General features: G+C 42.4%; 1 long non-coding RNA gene across 1 annotated transcript in view, besides 1 other annotated feature; it reads right to left on the bottom strand.

The window, feature by feature from the left end:
• LOC107985908 (uncharacterized) overlaps positions 1-15,490 on the bottom strand; it is a 66,991-nt gene that overhangs the window by 4,461 nt on the left and 47,040 nt on the right. The gene's annotated exons all lie outside the window — the stretch shown is intronic.
• Positions 4,237-4,413: a silencer, noted in NCBI's record as "fragment chr2:87540631-87540807 (GRCh37/hg19 assembly coordinates)". NCBI's record gives its function as "represses an EF-1alpha promoter that drives an FKBP-Casp9 reporter gene in an ReSE screen in K562 erythroleukemia cells {active_cell/tissue: K562}" and the evidence as "EXISTENCE:reporter gene assay evidence [ECO:0000049][PMID:32094911]".

Genomic DNA, 15,490 nt, shown 5'->3' with positions numbered 1-15,490 from the left:
AAAACCCTGTAGTTTTGGTGCAGAGACAGAAAAACAGACCATGGGGTATGAATAAGATCCCAGAAAAAGATGGATGCAAATAAAGAATGTTGGTTTATTACAGAGGATACAGGAGGTCAGTGAGGAGAGGAGGCTGATAAACAAATGGAGGTGGAAAAAAGTAGTTATTCATATGGGAAAAAATGAACTTGAATATCTCTCTCAAACTATATCCGAAAAATAACCCTAGATAGATTCAGGAATTAAATGTCAAAAAAGAAACTTTATAATTTATAGTAAAATACAGGTAACTATTTTATACCTTGGAGTAGTGATATGGTTTGGCTCTGTGTCCCCACCCAAATCTCATTTTGAATTGTAATTCCAAATGTTGGAGGTGAGGCCTGGTGGGAGGTGCTTGGATCATAGAGGTGGTTTCTAGTGGTTTGGCACCATCCCCCTAGTTCTGTATTTAAAGTGTGTAGTACCATCCCCTTCTCTCTCTGTCCTACTGGCCATATGCAGATATTCCTGCTTCCCCTTCACCTTCCACCATAATTGTGTTTCCTGAGGCCTTCCCAACCATGTTTCCTGTACAGCCTGCAGAACTGTGAGTCATTTAACCTCTTTTCTTTATAAATTACCCATTCTCAGGGAGTTCTTTATAGCAATGCAAGAATGGACTAATACACGCAGCTAAAGTTTTTCTTAAGCACTTAAATTGTTGACTATAAAATGATAAATTTAACTATGTCAAAATAAAGAACATTTGTTCACCAAGAGATACCTTTAAAAAGTAAAAAGACAAAGTAAAAACTGGGACAAGATATTCATAATATCAACCACAAAGGTTTAGTACCAAGAATATATGTAGAACTGCTACAAATCAATTTTGTTAACAAAGCACAAATAACCAGTATAATAATGGGGAAAAAAAGCACCAATGGCATTTCACAGAAGAGGAAACATATATGCCCAATAAACTTATGAAAAGATTCAAAAAGAAAAGTGAAAAAAATTATGAATACCTAGTATATGATAGCACAAAAGGGTGACTATAGTCAAAATAATTTAACTGTACATTTAAAAATACCTAAAAGAGTATAATTGGATTGTTTATAACACAAAACATAAATGCTTGAGGGGATGGATACCCCATTTCCCATGATGTGATTATTATGCATTGTGTGCCTATATCAAAACATCTCATGTACCCCATAAATATATGTACCTATTATGTACCCACAAAAACTAAAAATAAAAAAATTTGTTAAAGAAAAAAAGTGAAAATTAAAATCACAATGAAATAACATGTTATACTCATTCAATTAGCAAAAAGTAAAAAGCCTAACACAATTAAGTGCTGGAGAGGATGAAGCCTGTGGCATTGTAGATTAGCACAGAGTCTTTAGAGAATGTTTTGGCATTGTCTCCTAAAGTTGAACTTTCACATGTTCTCTGACATGATTCTCCTTGAAGGTCCATACCCAAGAGAAACTCTTATACTTGTACAAAGGCTGACATGTACCAGTAGGACTATAACAGCCCTGTTCTAACTAGCAAAAGTCTGGACCCTCTCCTTTCCCAAGTACCCCTCAATGGGAGTATGGATGATTACACTATGGTTTATTTGTATACACTACTATGCAGCAGTCAGAACAAAGAAATTACAATGACACACAATACTGTGAATGACTCTTAGCAATATAACATTAAATGGAAAAAAGTAAGTCCCTAAAAGTTTTATAAAGTTAAAAAACAATTAAGATAAAAATATACCTACTTTCTAGAAATACATATGGAAGCATAAAACCAAATAAAATGGGAAGCAGGGGTATCAGGAACACAAGATTCATGATGGTGTAGACCTTAGAAGTGGGGAGAAGAGGTTAATAAGATACTGGGGACTAGCTGATAAGATGTAGGTTATTGTCCTAGACTTAGCTTTTGTTTGGTGGTAGATTCATGGGTGCTCATTACAATATTGGAAATAACTAGTTACATAACTAAATAAATGACAAAGTCATGGATGGATCCGTGGTGGAAAGTACTGTGAACAAGGATCAAGATTCATCTAATTTTTGAGCTCCAAGGAATTGGGGTTGTGGGGATCCTATGTCCTATGGAATAAATGCTGTTATTATCAGCATGTTACAGGCAAGGGAACTGAGGATCAGGTTGGTGGAGCAACTTGCCCCAGGCCACACAGCTGGTGAATAGCAGAGCTGGGCATTGATTACACCCACATAAACAGGTAGTCATGGGGCCACGTGTTTAGATCTGTTGACTAGAACATCCCGTGGTGTCCATAACAGGAGTTTCTCATTTTAAGCCTGAATCGTTTATTCCCACACCAACTCCTGAGGTTGTTCACATGCCATTATAACCTGAAGGTCTTGGAACCTTCCCATGATCTGATATTTCCCCCACCCCCGTGCACACACATGCACACACAGTCAAAGTATTTTCTGGCACCTTTTCAAGTCATTTTCATATTCTTTTTGAGCAGTTTCATTTTCTAAACCTGTTACTTCAGAACTCATTCATACGGAACCTATGAAAGAAATTCTGCTCGGCATTGACTAAGCATATGAGTAAGTTTTTATTTTAATAGCACCATGTGGGAGGTTTCTTTATAAATGAATGGGGAGCAGAGGAGGGAATGCTTGCAAACTTCCCACAGACAAGAGCTAAGCCTATAAAAGCATATGGTAACACAGAATCATTCTTTTCAGTTTCAGGGTAAGCTCTTTTGCAAGGTAATATCATTTGCAAAAAACAAAAAGTCAACAAATAACCTTTTTGCCCTGCAGCTCTTAAAAATGACAACTGTTCAATGAATGGAAATTTGTGGGCCACATACACAGACAGCAAATTTACCAGGATCCCATTCTGCCTAAAATGTATGTGTAATGGATTGCCCAGCTCAAAATTGAGGAGGCTGGTCTGAGTTTAAGCACCATTATTTTGCATTGCTCCAAGCTGCTAAAATTCCAGATGCAGCTCAGTGGGGAGAAGTGATTTCACTTTCAGAGAGATTGGGCCATGATAGTGCGTATGATGGGCTGTATGTAGCATCACCCTCCAAAGGACGAGTCAGAGTCAGGAAATGTTAATCACTTGCCCGCTGTCCCCAGCTTGCACACTTAATCTCTTCACTGTCACTGAGGTGGTCCCATCTCTGGAAGGCAGCACCCAGGAGAGCTGTAGCTAAGCACATGGTGCATGACAACATAGAACCACAAGGAAAGGCTGGGGTGTAATGCTGGAGTTTGGTTAAGACCCTACCCCTCATCTAAATGAGGGCTCATTGTGCATTTTGTATCCTCAGAATGTGTCCCCTAGTTTTTAGTTCTCTTCCTCATAAGCTAGCCCCCTGAGCCTCTCACGGCAATGGGGAGGGTCTGGATTCTGCCGGGCCCTCCTTCGGTTATGCCCAGCAAGCACCTGTAGTCAGTGTCTCCTGGTGGAGGGCCCACTCACCCAGCCATGCCACTTTGCAAAATCTTCAGTATCCATCTCTCTCTCTTGGACTCCCCCAGACACAGGGACACTAAGGTCCCACATTCTCAGCTGATGGCCATTTCCCAGGCAGTGGTCTAATGAGCAGCGCTGTCCTAAGCCTTCTCAGGCAATTCCAGTTCCAAAGAATCTGCGTAGCCTCTTCCTGGGGACCTCTCCTCAGAATGGAGTGTCTCATCCCCACCCCTCTCTCCTCTTTTCTCCTTCAACCCCTGGCTGCCCCTTTCCTGTGGGCTTCTGCAGGTAGCCAGGCCAGGGACTGCACATGCTGAAGGCCATACTGGGGATAGAGGACTGCCACCCTTTCCCACAGTCTCGTGGGAGCACCAAGTTGGGGTGGACACACAGCCCAGAGCAGCCTCCCACGGGGGGATTTTCCACAGAAGCATTTACCCCCATTTGAATATCTCTATGGTAATGGACTGGATGTTCATGTTCCCCACCCCCTGTCCCTGCCAAATTTGCATGTTGAAGCTCTAACCCCCTATGTAATTACCTTTGGAGATCATTAGGTTTAAATGAGGTCATGGGGGTGGGGTTCTCATGATGGATTAGTGCCCTTATAAGAAAAGGAAGGGATCAGAGCTCTCCCTGTCTCCACCATGTGTGGAAACAGAGAGAAGGCGGCCATCTGCAAACCAGAAAGGGAGCCCTCACCAGACACCAGATCTGCTGCACCTTGATCTTGGACTTCCAGCCTCCAGAACTGTAAGAAATAAATGCCTATTGTTAAAGCCCCCCAGTCTATGGTATTTTATGAGAGCAAACACAATGGACTAAGACACCTAGCACGCCCCCACCTCCCCATGGGAATGAGTCATAACACTCCTGAAGGACCGCTGTGACTTCAGGCATATAGGGCAGAAAGACGGAGGCGCACGCTGCCATTTGCCCATAGGTTGTTACTGCAAAGCAGCCTGGGGACAGCTGGAGGTGGTATGGAGGCTGGGCCACCTTGTATTGGATTGTCCACAGACCTTCTTGCTTTCTAAATAGATCTGATTTCCACAGCAGAGCTCAGCCCCTCTTCCTTTATTTTTTTTCTTTTTAATAGATTTTTAAAAATTAATACAAGTACATAATTATTATAGGTATTCAAAAGCTACAGAGCTATATAGGAGAAAGTCAGACCCCAGAAGTGCCCACATTCCACAGGTGAATAGGCAGCACCTCCCAGTCATTCTGTGTCCCCTAAGAGGCTACAGGTATGGAAACGGGGGCCCAGAATGGACCCATCGGCATCTCTCTGGAGGAAGCTGATATTGCACACTCCCTTCTCTGAGGCTACTGGCCCACGTGGTGCTAATCCAGCTGCAACTGTCAGAAAATGATGCTCCCTGGGAGTTTTCACTTAAGGATTTAGGTGGGGCTCCAGAGGCCCTCATAATGTAAGAGTGCTTTCCCCTCCAAATGCTGCAAAGTCAGAGGAACAGGGGCTGTTTGAGGATCTTTAATGCTATTTTTATTTTCTCAGCATCATCTCCAATATTTCTTGGGATGCTTGTCATAAAATTAGCAGACTGGTATTTATTTCCTGGTGTTTTTAAATCTTCATGATATTTTATCTCACCTAACTTTCTTTCTAAATTTACTGATTGTGGGTGTACTTTTTTTAACAATACCACTGGAATCACCTCTTAATGACAATTAACCTATCCTGCAGTAGAATACACTATTTGTTTTAAAGATCATAACACAGCAAAAGTTGAAATGACTTTGCAATAATTATCAAAAGCACAGGAGTCTAGAAGCAGTGATTCACACCCACGAGACAATGGATGGTGACATTCCTGTCTACCTGCTTACCCCCTGAAGTGGGAGACAGTTCACGCTCCGCACCTCGCCCCCAAGAACAGCTTTGAAATTATGTATTTTTTGTTGTTTTTCAACTAAGAAAATGTTGCATTATTTCAAGTTTCAAATCAGATTATACAAAATCATGTATAATATTCTCTCACTGGTTAGGTAGGAGCTGCACTCCTTTCTCTAGTGTTGCCAAGATTTCCATCACTGGAATGTGAAGCCCTTCACCTCTCAGAATGCCAGAGAGAAGGAGTCCCTCCTGTGGTCCTGCAGTGTCACCCCAAAAGCTGCCCAGGTTGCCAGATGTGTCTGAGAGAAGTGAGGCCACCTGACTCATTTAGCCCAGTGCAGGGGAACTTCTCTGAATGTGGCCCGGGTGCTTGAAAGAGCTCTACCCCACAAGTGGAAACCCCTCTTCTCCACTAGGTATTCTGCTCTCAGATCCACCCCTGCTGAGAATACACTTCTGGTGGAGAGGCACTGCTCCTAAGTGCTGTCAGCAATGAGGACTTCCTGTCTGGAGTAGGGTAGTCCCAGTGAAACTGACTATCACTACAGGGCCCGGCTCGCCTCCGTTCGTGTACCCCAGCACACCAGGCACATCGCTTACTGCTGGTTCTTTACATGCCAGCCAGATTCAGCTGTGGATGCTGTAGGCATTTAGTTTAGAGATCTTCCTCCACCCTGGGCAGTAAAACAGTGTCTGAAGTTGACTTAATGGCCTCCCAAGCCTGGTCTCCTACCCGCTGGGCAAAAGCTGCAGGATGGGTCCTGCCTCGGTCATGGGAATGAATATGAAACCGAAAGAGCCAGTCCTTCAAGATGGATCCCTAGTGGCTAACTGGGCCTAAATTTAACATTGAGCCTAGTGGTCATTTATTGACTAGACATCACAGATGTACTCTGTGTCAACAGAAAACCCATACCTCTGTTCAACTTTGGGACTTTCAGAACTCACCTGAACCAACCAATCAGAACTTAGCTTCATCAAGTAATTAGAACTAAGCAAGTTTGAATCCTTCATTTGCATAAATGGACTTGAGTGGGAACCCGGACAGGAACTTTTGCTGTCAAAACTGAAACCTCCTTTTGCTCCCTGGAAGGAACCTTCATTTTAGACCACAGGTCACATCTCCCCATTTTGCAAACTGCTTAGTGGAATAAAGTCTCTTCCCTTCCAATTCTTTTACAGAGAACTTTTGTTCACCGACACCTTACCTTGCACGCTCCTTATCCCTCTCCAATAACATGCTCCCATCTGGGCTGTCTCTTTGTTCCCCAGATCATGCTATATCCACTAAAGGGGCTAGTTCTTTCTCTTTGTTTAATATTCAAATCTTACCAGAGATATTAATATTCATTTCTTCCCAGAGAAAATGGATAGAAGGGTTCTGTCATATTTATTTGGACACTATTCTCATCACTTTAAAGGCACACCTTTAATCAAAATAAAGGCACAAGGGTGTTGAGTGGTGTGGGTGTCAAATGCCATGGGTATCAAATGTTGTAGGTGTCATGCCCCTTCCAGGTCAAAGAAGAGGATTAATACCATTTGTTGAAAAATTCAGAGCAGAAAGGGATTTAGTCCTGACTCTGCTGCTCACTGGCTGTGTCCAGTTCTTAGCTCTGAGCTTCAGTTTTCTCAACTATAAAATAAAGGCCATAGAGCTACATATGTGGTCTTCAACCTCTTACCAGAAGCATTATTTTATTAAGTACAATTTTGCACATAGCCTCAGTAATGACAATGGCTAATATTTATTAGTTGAACACTTTTTGAAGAGCTTTATGTGCATTAACTCATTTAAACCTCACAAAAAACCTTATAAGGTAATAGTATTATCCCCATTTTTCAGATGAGGAAATTGAGGCACAGAGTGCCCAAGGTCACTCAGCTAGTAAGAATACTAAAGCCAGGTTAAAACATTGCTCTGAAGGCCACAGTTTCAACTCCTATTTCTGGACAGTGAAATGCTCTGCTAGGTCTGGGGTTAGAAGGGCTGTGGGTGAGTCTCATCTTCTCTGGTATCCCTTCTTCTTCTCTACTCAGAAGCCCCTTGGCACAACCACAAAGCCCTCAGGTTTCACATACCACCTAGGGCAGTCTAAAAAGTTCCCTTACAGTACTTAAATTCAACCAAACACTCATTTCTCATGGAGGTATCAGCATTAAATGGGACCTGCCCATGGAGTGCTCCGGGGTCTCTGGCATGGGACACAGGTGGCACAGGTACAGGTGTAGATAAATATCACTAACTCTTTTCGGCAGCAGCAGTGGTGGTGGTGCTGTTAGCACAGCCTGGGAAGGTCAAATAAGCATATTTAAATTGTGCCCAGGAAATGTTATGATAAATTCAGAATCAGGAGAATGAGAAGAGAGAGATGGATCACAAACCTTGGCAAGAAAAGGGAAACCCTTTAGCTGAGAGGATAAAGGAAGGTACATAATAAATACTTCAAAGAAACAATGGGGAAAGGGACAGAAAACCTGTCCAGGTCGAGAGACTGGAAAGCAGGCAGGGAATGGAGTAGAGTGGGTGAGGGGGATGAGCTGCCAGAGAACTGAGTAGGAGAGGGCAGCAGGAGTCAGGGCCAGGCAGAGGGGAAGTGTGCCTGCATTTAAACCAGAAGTGTTGTGAGCTAGGCTTCCATTGATTTGCACAATGCTTGAACAATGTGATTAGGCCAGGCACGATGACTCATGCTTATATCCCAGCACTTTGGGAGGCTGAGACGCAAGGGTCACTTGCATCTCTTGCCAGGAGTTCAAGACCAGCCTAGGCAATAAAGCAAGGACCCATCTCTACAAAAAAGCATTTTTTAAAAAAAGTTAGTCAGACATGGTGCAAGCACCAGTGGTCCTTTCTACTTAGAAGGCTAAGACAAGAGGATCACTTGAGCCCAGTAGTTCCAGGCTATGGTGAGCTATGATTGTACCACTGCATTCCAGCCGGGGCAACACAGCAAGAGCCTACCTCTAAAAAATAATAAAAAATAAAATAAAATAAGAACAATGTGATTAAAGGGCTCCATTTATTTTTTAATTTAATAAGCTGATAGAACTCAGGTAATGGTGTGTGCTGGTAAATGTTTAATAACCAGCTGTCCAAATAACTAAGCATGATTTGCTGATTTCCATGGTGAAATACTCCCACACAAGCAGGAACTGGGGAGAGAAGCACAGCTGCCCCGTCGCCCAGTACAGTATTTCCACCACACAGGTACCATAACGTAAAGAGCCTCAAGGGCACAGGAAATGGTAAAATGTCATAAAAAAGGTAGTATAAGTTTTGTGTATCCATTACTTTTGTTTGCGATTTAATTTGCTTACCTGAGGTTCTATAATTTTTAATAGTTGCTCTGGTTAACAACCAGGCCAAAAAGTTCCTGAAGATCTTGTAGCCAGCGCTGGTAAGCTAGTACTGGCAGCTCTAGCACCTCTGCACATGGATGTTGCTGTGGAGGAAAGAATCGTGGCCAAGAGAGACTGCGGCCAGGGAGAGTTGGTCCCAGGAGAGGCCCACCCAGGAAAACCTGCTCCCCACCCCCAGAGCCCACCTCCCCAGGAGAATCTGCCCCCTCCTCAGAACCCCTTCCCCAGAGCCAAACCCCCAGAGACACCCCTCACCCAAGGAGATCCTGCCCACCCCCAAGAGCCCGCCACCCCCAGCCTGTCCCCGCCCTGGGGAGAGCTCGCCCCCAAGAGTCTGCCACCTAGGAGAGTCAGCCTGGGGCTCCACCACACCCAGCGCTGCAAGCACTTGGCAACCACATGTCTCAGAGCTCAGGGGCTCCCAACAGGAAACAGGTCCTGAGACTGGGAAATCATGTGGGCTGCTAATCCCGGCAGACAGCTCCTGTTCCCACATACCTTGAGAAAAGGAAGTACACTAGCCAGGGGGAGATCCCTCGGGAATTTCAGGGATGTGCCTACAACAGTCCCCAGAAGAATCTAACTGTGGGAATGTGCTGGAGGGACGCACTGGAGCACAATGGAAGGCGTATTGGGGGAGCAGCAGAACCTCTGGAAAGGCCCGGAAAGAAGCGGTAACTCTGACCCCACCGCCTCCCGAACTGCCAACTGGATTCCCAGCCCTGAGCAAGGGGCTTACTTGGAATTTCTCAAGGCTGAAAATGTTGGGTGGTGGCAGGGAGGCATGAGAAGAGGGAGGTGAAGAAGAAAGGTGGCCAGCATGGGACCCTCACTCCCTACTCTGGTGTGTCTGAACTATCCCAAACAGGACTACCCACCTGTAAGAACTTGTGTACTGAGCACATGGCCCAGGAGACTCCAAGCTCTTTCCCTATTTAACAGACCTCTTCACTCTTGCCTCTTGGCAAGCTTGGTTTATAAACTGTCCAGGTCCAAGGCAATAGCAATCAAAAGAGGACCTACAACGAGGCTGACAGAGGTGTCGGGGTCTGGGAAAGAGAGCCTGAGTGGAGCCTGTGGACTCTAGCCTGGCCTCGCCCAAGATGGGATGTGACAGTCATGAACACAGGAGAGCCTGGAATAGGCCCCCTCTAAGAATCTGCAGCCTTCACACCCTCACAATGCCACAGCCAGCAAAGGTGACTGCAGAGGCCAGGACAAGCAAATGCATGGCGCTGAGAAACTGGAGGGTCACCAGATAAAACACACAGGGCCCCCACTAAGCCCCCTCACTACGCCCCAACAACCAGACTAAAAATCAAAACAGAGTTATCTATGCTACAATTCCACCAAACTGAAACTAAGTTGTTATCTGATCTTCCACAAAATTAGGAGCATGAGGTAACAGCTGCTATGGTTTGGCTGTGTGTCCCCACCCAAATCTCATGTTGAATTGCAATCCCCAACACTGAGGGAGGGACCTGGTGGGAGGTGACTGGATCATGGGGGCAGAATTCTCCCTTGCTGTTCTCATGATAGTGAGTGAGTCCTCACGAGATCTGGTTGTTTAAAAGTGTGTAGTGCTTCTTCTTTCACTGTCTCCTGCCACCACGTGAAGATGTGCTTGCTTTCCCTTTGCCCTTCTGCCATGAGTGTAAGCTTCCTGAGGCCTACCAGCCATGCTTCCTGTACAGCCTCCAGAACTCTGAGTCAATTAAACCTCTTTTCTGCATAAATTACCCAGTCTCAGTTAATTCTTTATAGCAGTGTGAGAACGGACTAATGCAACAGCCAGTTTCTCCAACCCTCCAGGCTGGCGCAAACTCCTGACCTCAGATGATCTGCCTGCCTCAGCCTCCCAAAGTGCTGGGATTACAGGCCTGAGCGATGGTGCCCAGCCCCTAATTCTTAAACAGGAAGATAGAGTCATGGTTACCCAACAATGAGAAAAATCTCTCAATGTGAGAAACTCCAAAACAAACAAACAGAACACAAGAGACGCAGTGGAAATCATGCAGAAACCAGAAGGAAACAAAGCAACAGTAATTAAGTTTTAAATTAAAATGCAGCTACAATAAATAAACTCTACCATAAAGATACAGATCTATCTAAAATCGTCTTCAATTAATAAATCATAGATTAGCAATCAAAACATACTATATACATTGTGGAAGTCAATACCAAATAAATACAACCAAAATAGATGAAAATATCTGCATGGGGTAAGGGGGTTGTTGTTTTCCAGTATTTTTTAAATTACACTTAATTTGAGGTAACTGTAGATTCATAAGCAGTTGTAAGAAATAATAGAAACATCACATGCTCTTAACCAAATTTCCCCTACTGGTAATATCTTACAAAACTGTAGTATGATATCACAGCAAGAACACTATTATTGAAAGACAAGCTATTGGCCAGGTGCAGTGGCTCAGGCCTGTAATCCTTGCACTTTGGGAGGCTGAGGCAGGTGGATCAACGGAGGTCAGGAGTTTGAGACCAGCCTGGCCAACATGGTAAAACTCCGTCTCTACTAAAAATACAACAAATTAGCCAGGCGTGGTAGTGGCACCTGTAATCCCAGCTACTCGGGAGGCCTAAGGCAGGAGAATCACTTGAACCTGGGAGGTGGAGGTTGCAGTGAGCTGAGATTGCACTACTGCACTCCAGCCTGGGTGACAGAGCAAGACTCCGTCCGTCTAAAAAAAACAAACAAACAAACAAAAAGAAAGTCAAGCTATGAAACAATTCCATCCCCACAAGCATCCCTCATGTGGCCCTTTTGCAACCACCCCACTTCACTGCTGTCCCACCAACCACTAATCTGTTCTTCATTCCTGTAACTTTGTCCTTTTTAAAATGTTGTATAAATAGAGTAACATAGTATGTAACTTTTGAGGACTGGCTTTTTTTCACTTAATGTAATTCTCAAGATTAACCAGGGTTTTGTGTGTATCAATAGTTGGTTCCTTTTTATTGCTGAGTAGTATTCCATGATGTGGATGGTTTAACCCACTAAAGGACATCTTGCATCTTTTCAGTTTTTAGCTATTATGAATAGAGCTGCTATAAACATTCTTGTACAGGTTTTTGTGTGAACATACATTTTCATTTCTCCGCAATAAATGCACAGGAATGCAATTTCCAGGTCAAACAGCAATTTCATATTTAGTTTTTAAAGAAACTGCCAAACTGTTATCTGAATGACTATAATATTTTTTGTTCTACCCAGCAATGTAGGTGTGATCCAGTTTCTCCACATACTTGCCAGCATTTTGTGTTATAATTTGTTTTCAATTTTAGCAACTCTGATAGGTGTGTAGTAATATCTCACGGTGGTTTTAATGTGCATTTCCCTAAAGGCTAGTGATATCGAACATCCTTTCCTGCACTTCTTTACCATCTGTATAGTCTTTTTGGTGAAATTCATGGGCATATTTTCCCCTCATTTTCTGATGGGATTCTTCATTTTTCTTCTTGTCTTTTTACTGTTGAATTTGATACATTTTTGTGTATTGTAGATATAAGGTCTTTGTAAGACATGGATTTGAGGCCGGGCACGGTGGCTTACGCCTGGAATCCCAGTACTTTGGGAGGCCGAGGCAGGTGGATCACGAGGTCAAGAGATCGAGACCATCCTGGCCAACATGGTAAAACCCTGTCTCTACTAAAAATACAAAAATTAGCTGGGCCTGGAGTCCCAGCTACTCTGGAGGCTAAGGCAGGAGAATCGCTTGAACCCGGGAGCTGGAGGTTGCAGTGAGCTGAGATCGCGCCAATGCACTCCAGCCTGGCAACAGAGCAAGACTCCATCTCAAAAAAACAAAAAAAAGATATGGATTTGAAAATAATTTCTCCCAGTCTGCAGTTTGTCTTTTCATCCTCTTCACCGAGTCTTTTACACCACAAAAGTTTTTAATTACAACGAAGTATAGTATATTGACTTTTTCTTCTCTCTTTATGGATAGTGCTGCTGGTGCCATGTCTAAGAATTCTGTCTAGCCTTAGGTCCCAAAGATTTTCTCCTGTGAATTCTTTCTAAACATTATATATTTTTATGTTTTATGTTTAAACTCATGATTTTTTTTTAACGGAGTTTCGCTCTTTCCCCCATGCCGGAGTGAAGTGGCATGATCTCACCTCACTGCAACCTCCATCCCGCCAAATTCAAGTGATTCTCCTGCCTCAGCCTCCCGAGTAGCTGTGATTATAGGCACTTGCCACCATGCCCAGCTAATTTTTGTTTTTTTAGTAGAGACAGCATTTCGCCATGTTGGCTAGGCTGATCTCAAACTCTTGACCTCAGATGATCCACCCACCTCAGCCTCCCAAAGTGCTATAATGTTTTAATAGACTTTATTTTTTATAAGTTTAAAAAAAATGAGATGGTAGAACAGAAAGTTCCCATATACATCCTCACTCAGTGTCCCATCTTATTAACATCTTATATTAATTAGCACGACTGTTTCAATTAATGAGCCAATATTGATACATTATTATTAACCAAAGTCTATATCTTATTTAGATTTCCTTAGTTTTACCTAACATCTTCCTATGGTCCAGGGTCCCATCCAGGATACTTACTGTGTTTAGTCATCACATCTCCTCAGGCTCCTCTTGGTTGTGACAGTTTCTCAAACTTTTCCTGATTTTTAGGACCTTGACAATTTTGAAGAGTCCTGGTTAGGTATTATCCTATATTCAATGTATTCTATGATACCCCCTTATTGAAATTCACCTGAGGCTTTTTTCATGATTCGACAAGGGTAATGGGTAAAGCAGTGAAGTGTCATTTTCATCACATCATATCCAGGGTACATACTCACACCACGATTTATCACAGCAGGTGTTGACCATGATCACCTGGCTGAAGTAGTGCTTGGCAGGTGTCTCCAGTGTAAATCTACTTTCCCCCACCCCCTATCTATTCTACACTCTTTGGAAGAAAATCACTATGTAGGCCCATACCTAAGGACCAGGAACTTACACTTCTCCTCCTTCAGGTTGTAGTATCTGTATTAACTATTTCCAGTTCTTCATAAGAGAGAGTTGTCTTTTTTCCCCCCATTTATTTATTCAAGTATTTACTTATATCACTATGGACTCATGGATATTTATTTTGGGTGATAATACATTACTACTTTATTATTTTCTTGCTCCAATTATTCCAAGTTTGGCCATTGAGAGCTCTTTTGGTTGGCTCCTGTGTCTCTTCACACACACACACACACACACACACACACACACACACACATTTCCTTACATTCTGGTGCTACAAAATGCTCCAGGTTCATCTCATATATTTTTCCCCCAAGGCCTGGAATCAGCCATTTCTCCAAGGAGCCCTGATTTGTTTTATTGGTGAATGGTGTTAGAAACCAAGATCTGTGTGTCCGGTGTGCTAATTGCTAGAGGGTTGTCATTGCTTCTTTGTTCTCTCAGGTGACAGAGTAAGGAAAACTATGTATGTATACTAACCCACACATATATTCATATCTATAGTACATTTTTAATATATCTCTTCATCATATAGTTTTTTACTAATTTCCCTAGATATTACAATATATATACATAATATGTCATAGCTAACTGTATCAGCATTTTACCTCTTCAAGTGAAGTATAGAAATCTGACTTTTATTTAGGTCTGTTTACCCTCCCCCTTAAAATACAAATATGTTAAATAAATATTTCCACTACAGACACTGAACATCTCACCAGATGATGTTATATTTTTTTGCTTCAACACAATTTTTTAAACACTTGAGGAGAATTTTTAACCATTGCATTGTTTTGTTTCCTTCCTGAAGTTCCAGCCTCCCTTTGTTATTATTCACTTTCTGTTTAGAGACATCCCTTTAGTCATTCTTTAATGCTGGTGACAAATTTCTTATTTTTCTTCTATCTGAGAATGTCTTAATTTTCCATTCATTTCTGAAGGATATTTTTGCTAGGTATAGGATATGAGATTGACAGATTTTTTAAACCCCTTGGTCAATTTACATCATATTTTCTTTTTAAAAATTTTATTTCTAAGAATATTTCCCCCCTCAATGCAATCTCACGGAAGGTAAACCATTCATATTATCAGTGCCACATTCACTGGGATCCTCAAGAGGAATGTGGGGCAGGGTCTTTGAATAAGTAGTCTTCTGGAACCTGTTTTTGTTTTTAAACCAGAACCATAAGCAAGTATAGAATAAAGGCCATTTTTTTTTAGTTCCTTTCTGAAGAAAATGCCTTTTGTTTGAGGTGAGATGTGATATTATCCTGGTTGAAACTAGAAACTTGCATCAATGTCTGTAGTTTTTCAGAATCATTTTAATTTATAATCTCCTTATATTCAGGAACATCAAGAATGTACCTAGTTTAGTGATATGTGGATATAGCTATTAATATTCTGTTTTATGCCATTTTCAGCTAGATTCAACCTGCAACACACTACTTGGAGGCTATGGGGTGATTCTGAAGTAAAGACTTGTGTTTTCCCAGTTCCTGGGCTTCTTCATGCTGAAAGTCTTGCTCCATCACCTGTCCCATATTAATTTCCAGAGCTCCTTCTGAAAAGCTTGTTATCACTCAAGCTATTCTTTCGGTTCCGTCTTTGAAAAACATTTATAAAGGGCAGAAAACCTGCAGTGCTGAATTTTATTATTTTCGGTGTGATCGTTTCTTATTCCACAAAGTAAAATACCTTGGCTTTGATGATCTACTCATAAAGTTGCCAGTTTAGAAGAGCAACACTATTATCACACTCCTGCAAGCAACACCTACCATTTTCTTTTGTGCATCTCTTTCAAATGGAGTGGAATAGGCA

Source organism: Homo sapiens, chromosome 2, assembly GCF_000001405.40.
Source record: "Homo sapiens chromosome 2, GRCh38.p14 Primary Assembly".
In the NCBI taxonomy this organism is placed as follows: Eukaryota; Metazoa; Chordata; class Mammalia; order Primates; family Hominidae; genus Homo; species Homo sapiens.
This window is presented reverse-complemented; position numbering and strand designations above follow the sequence as displayed.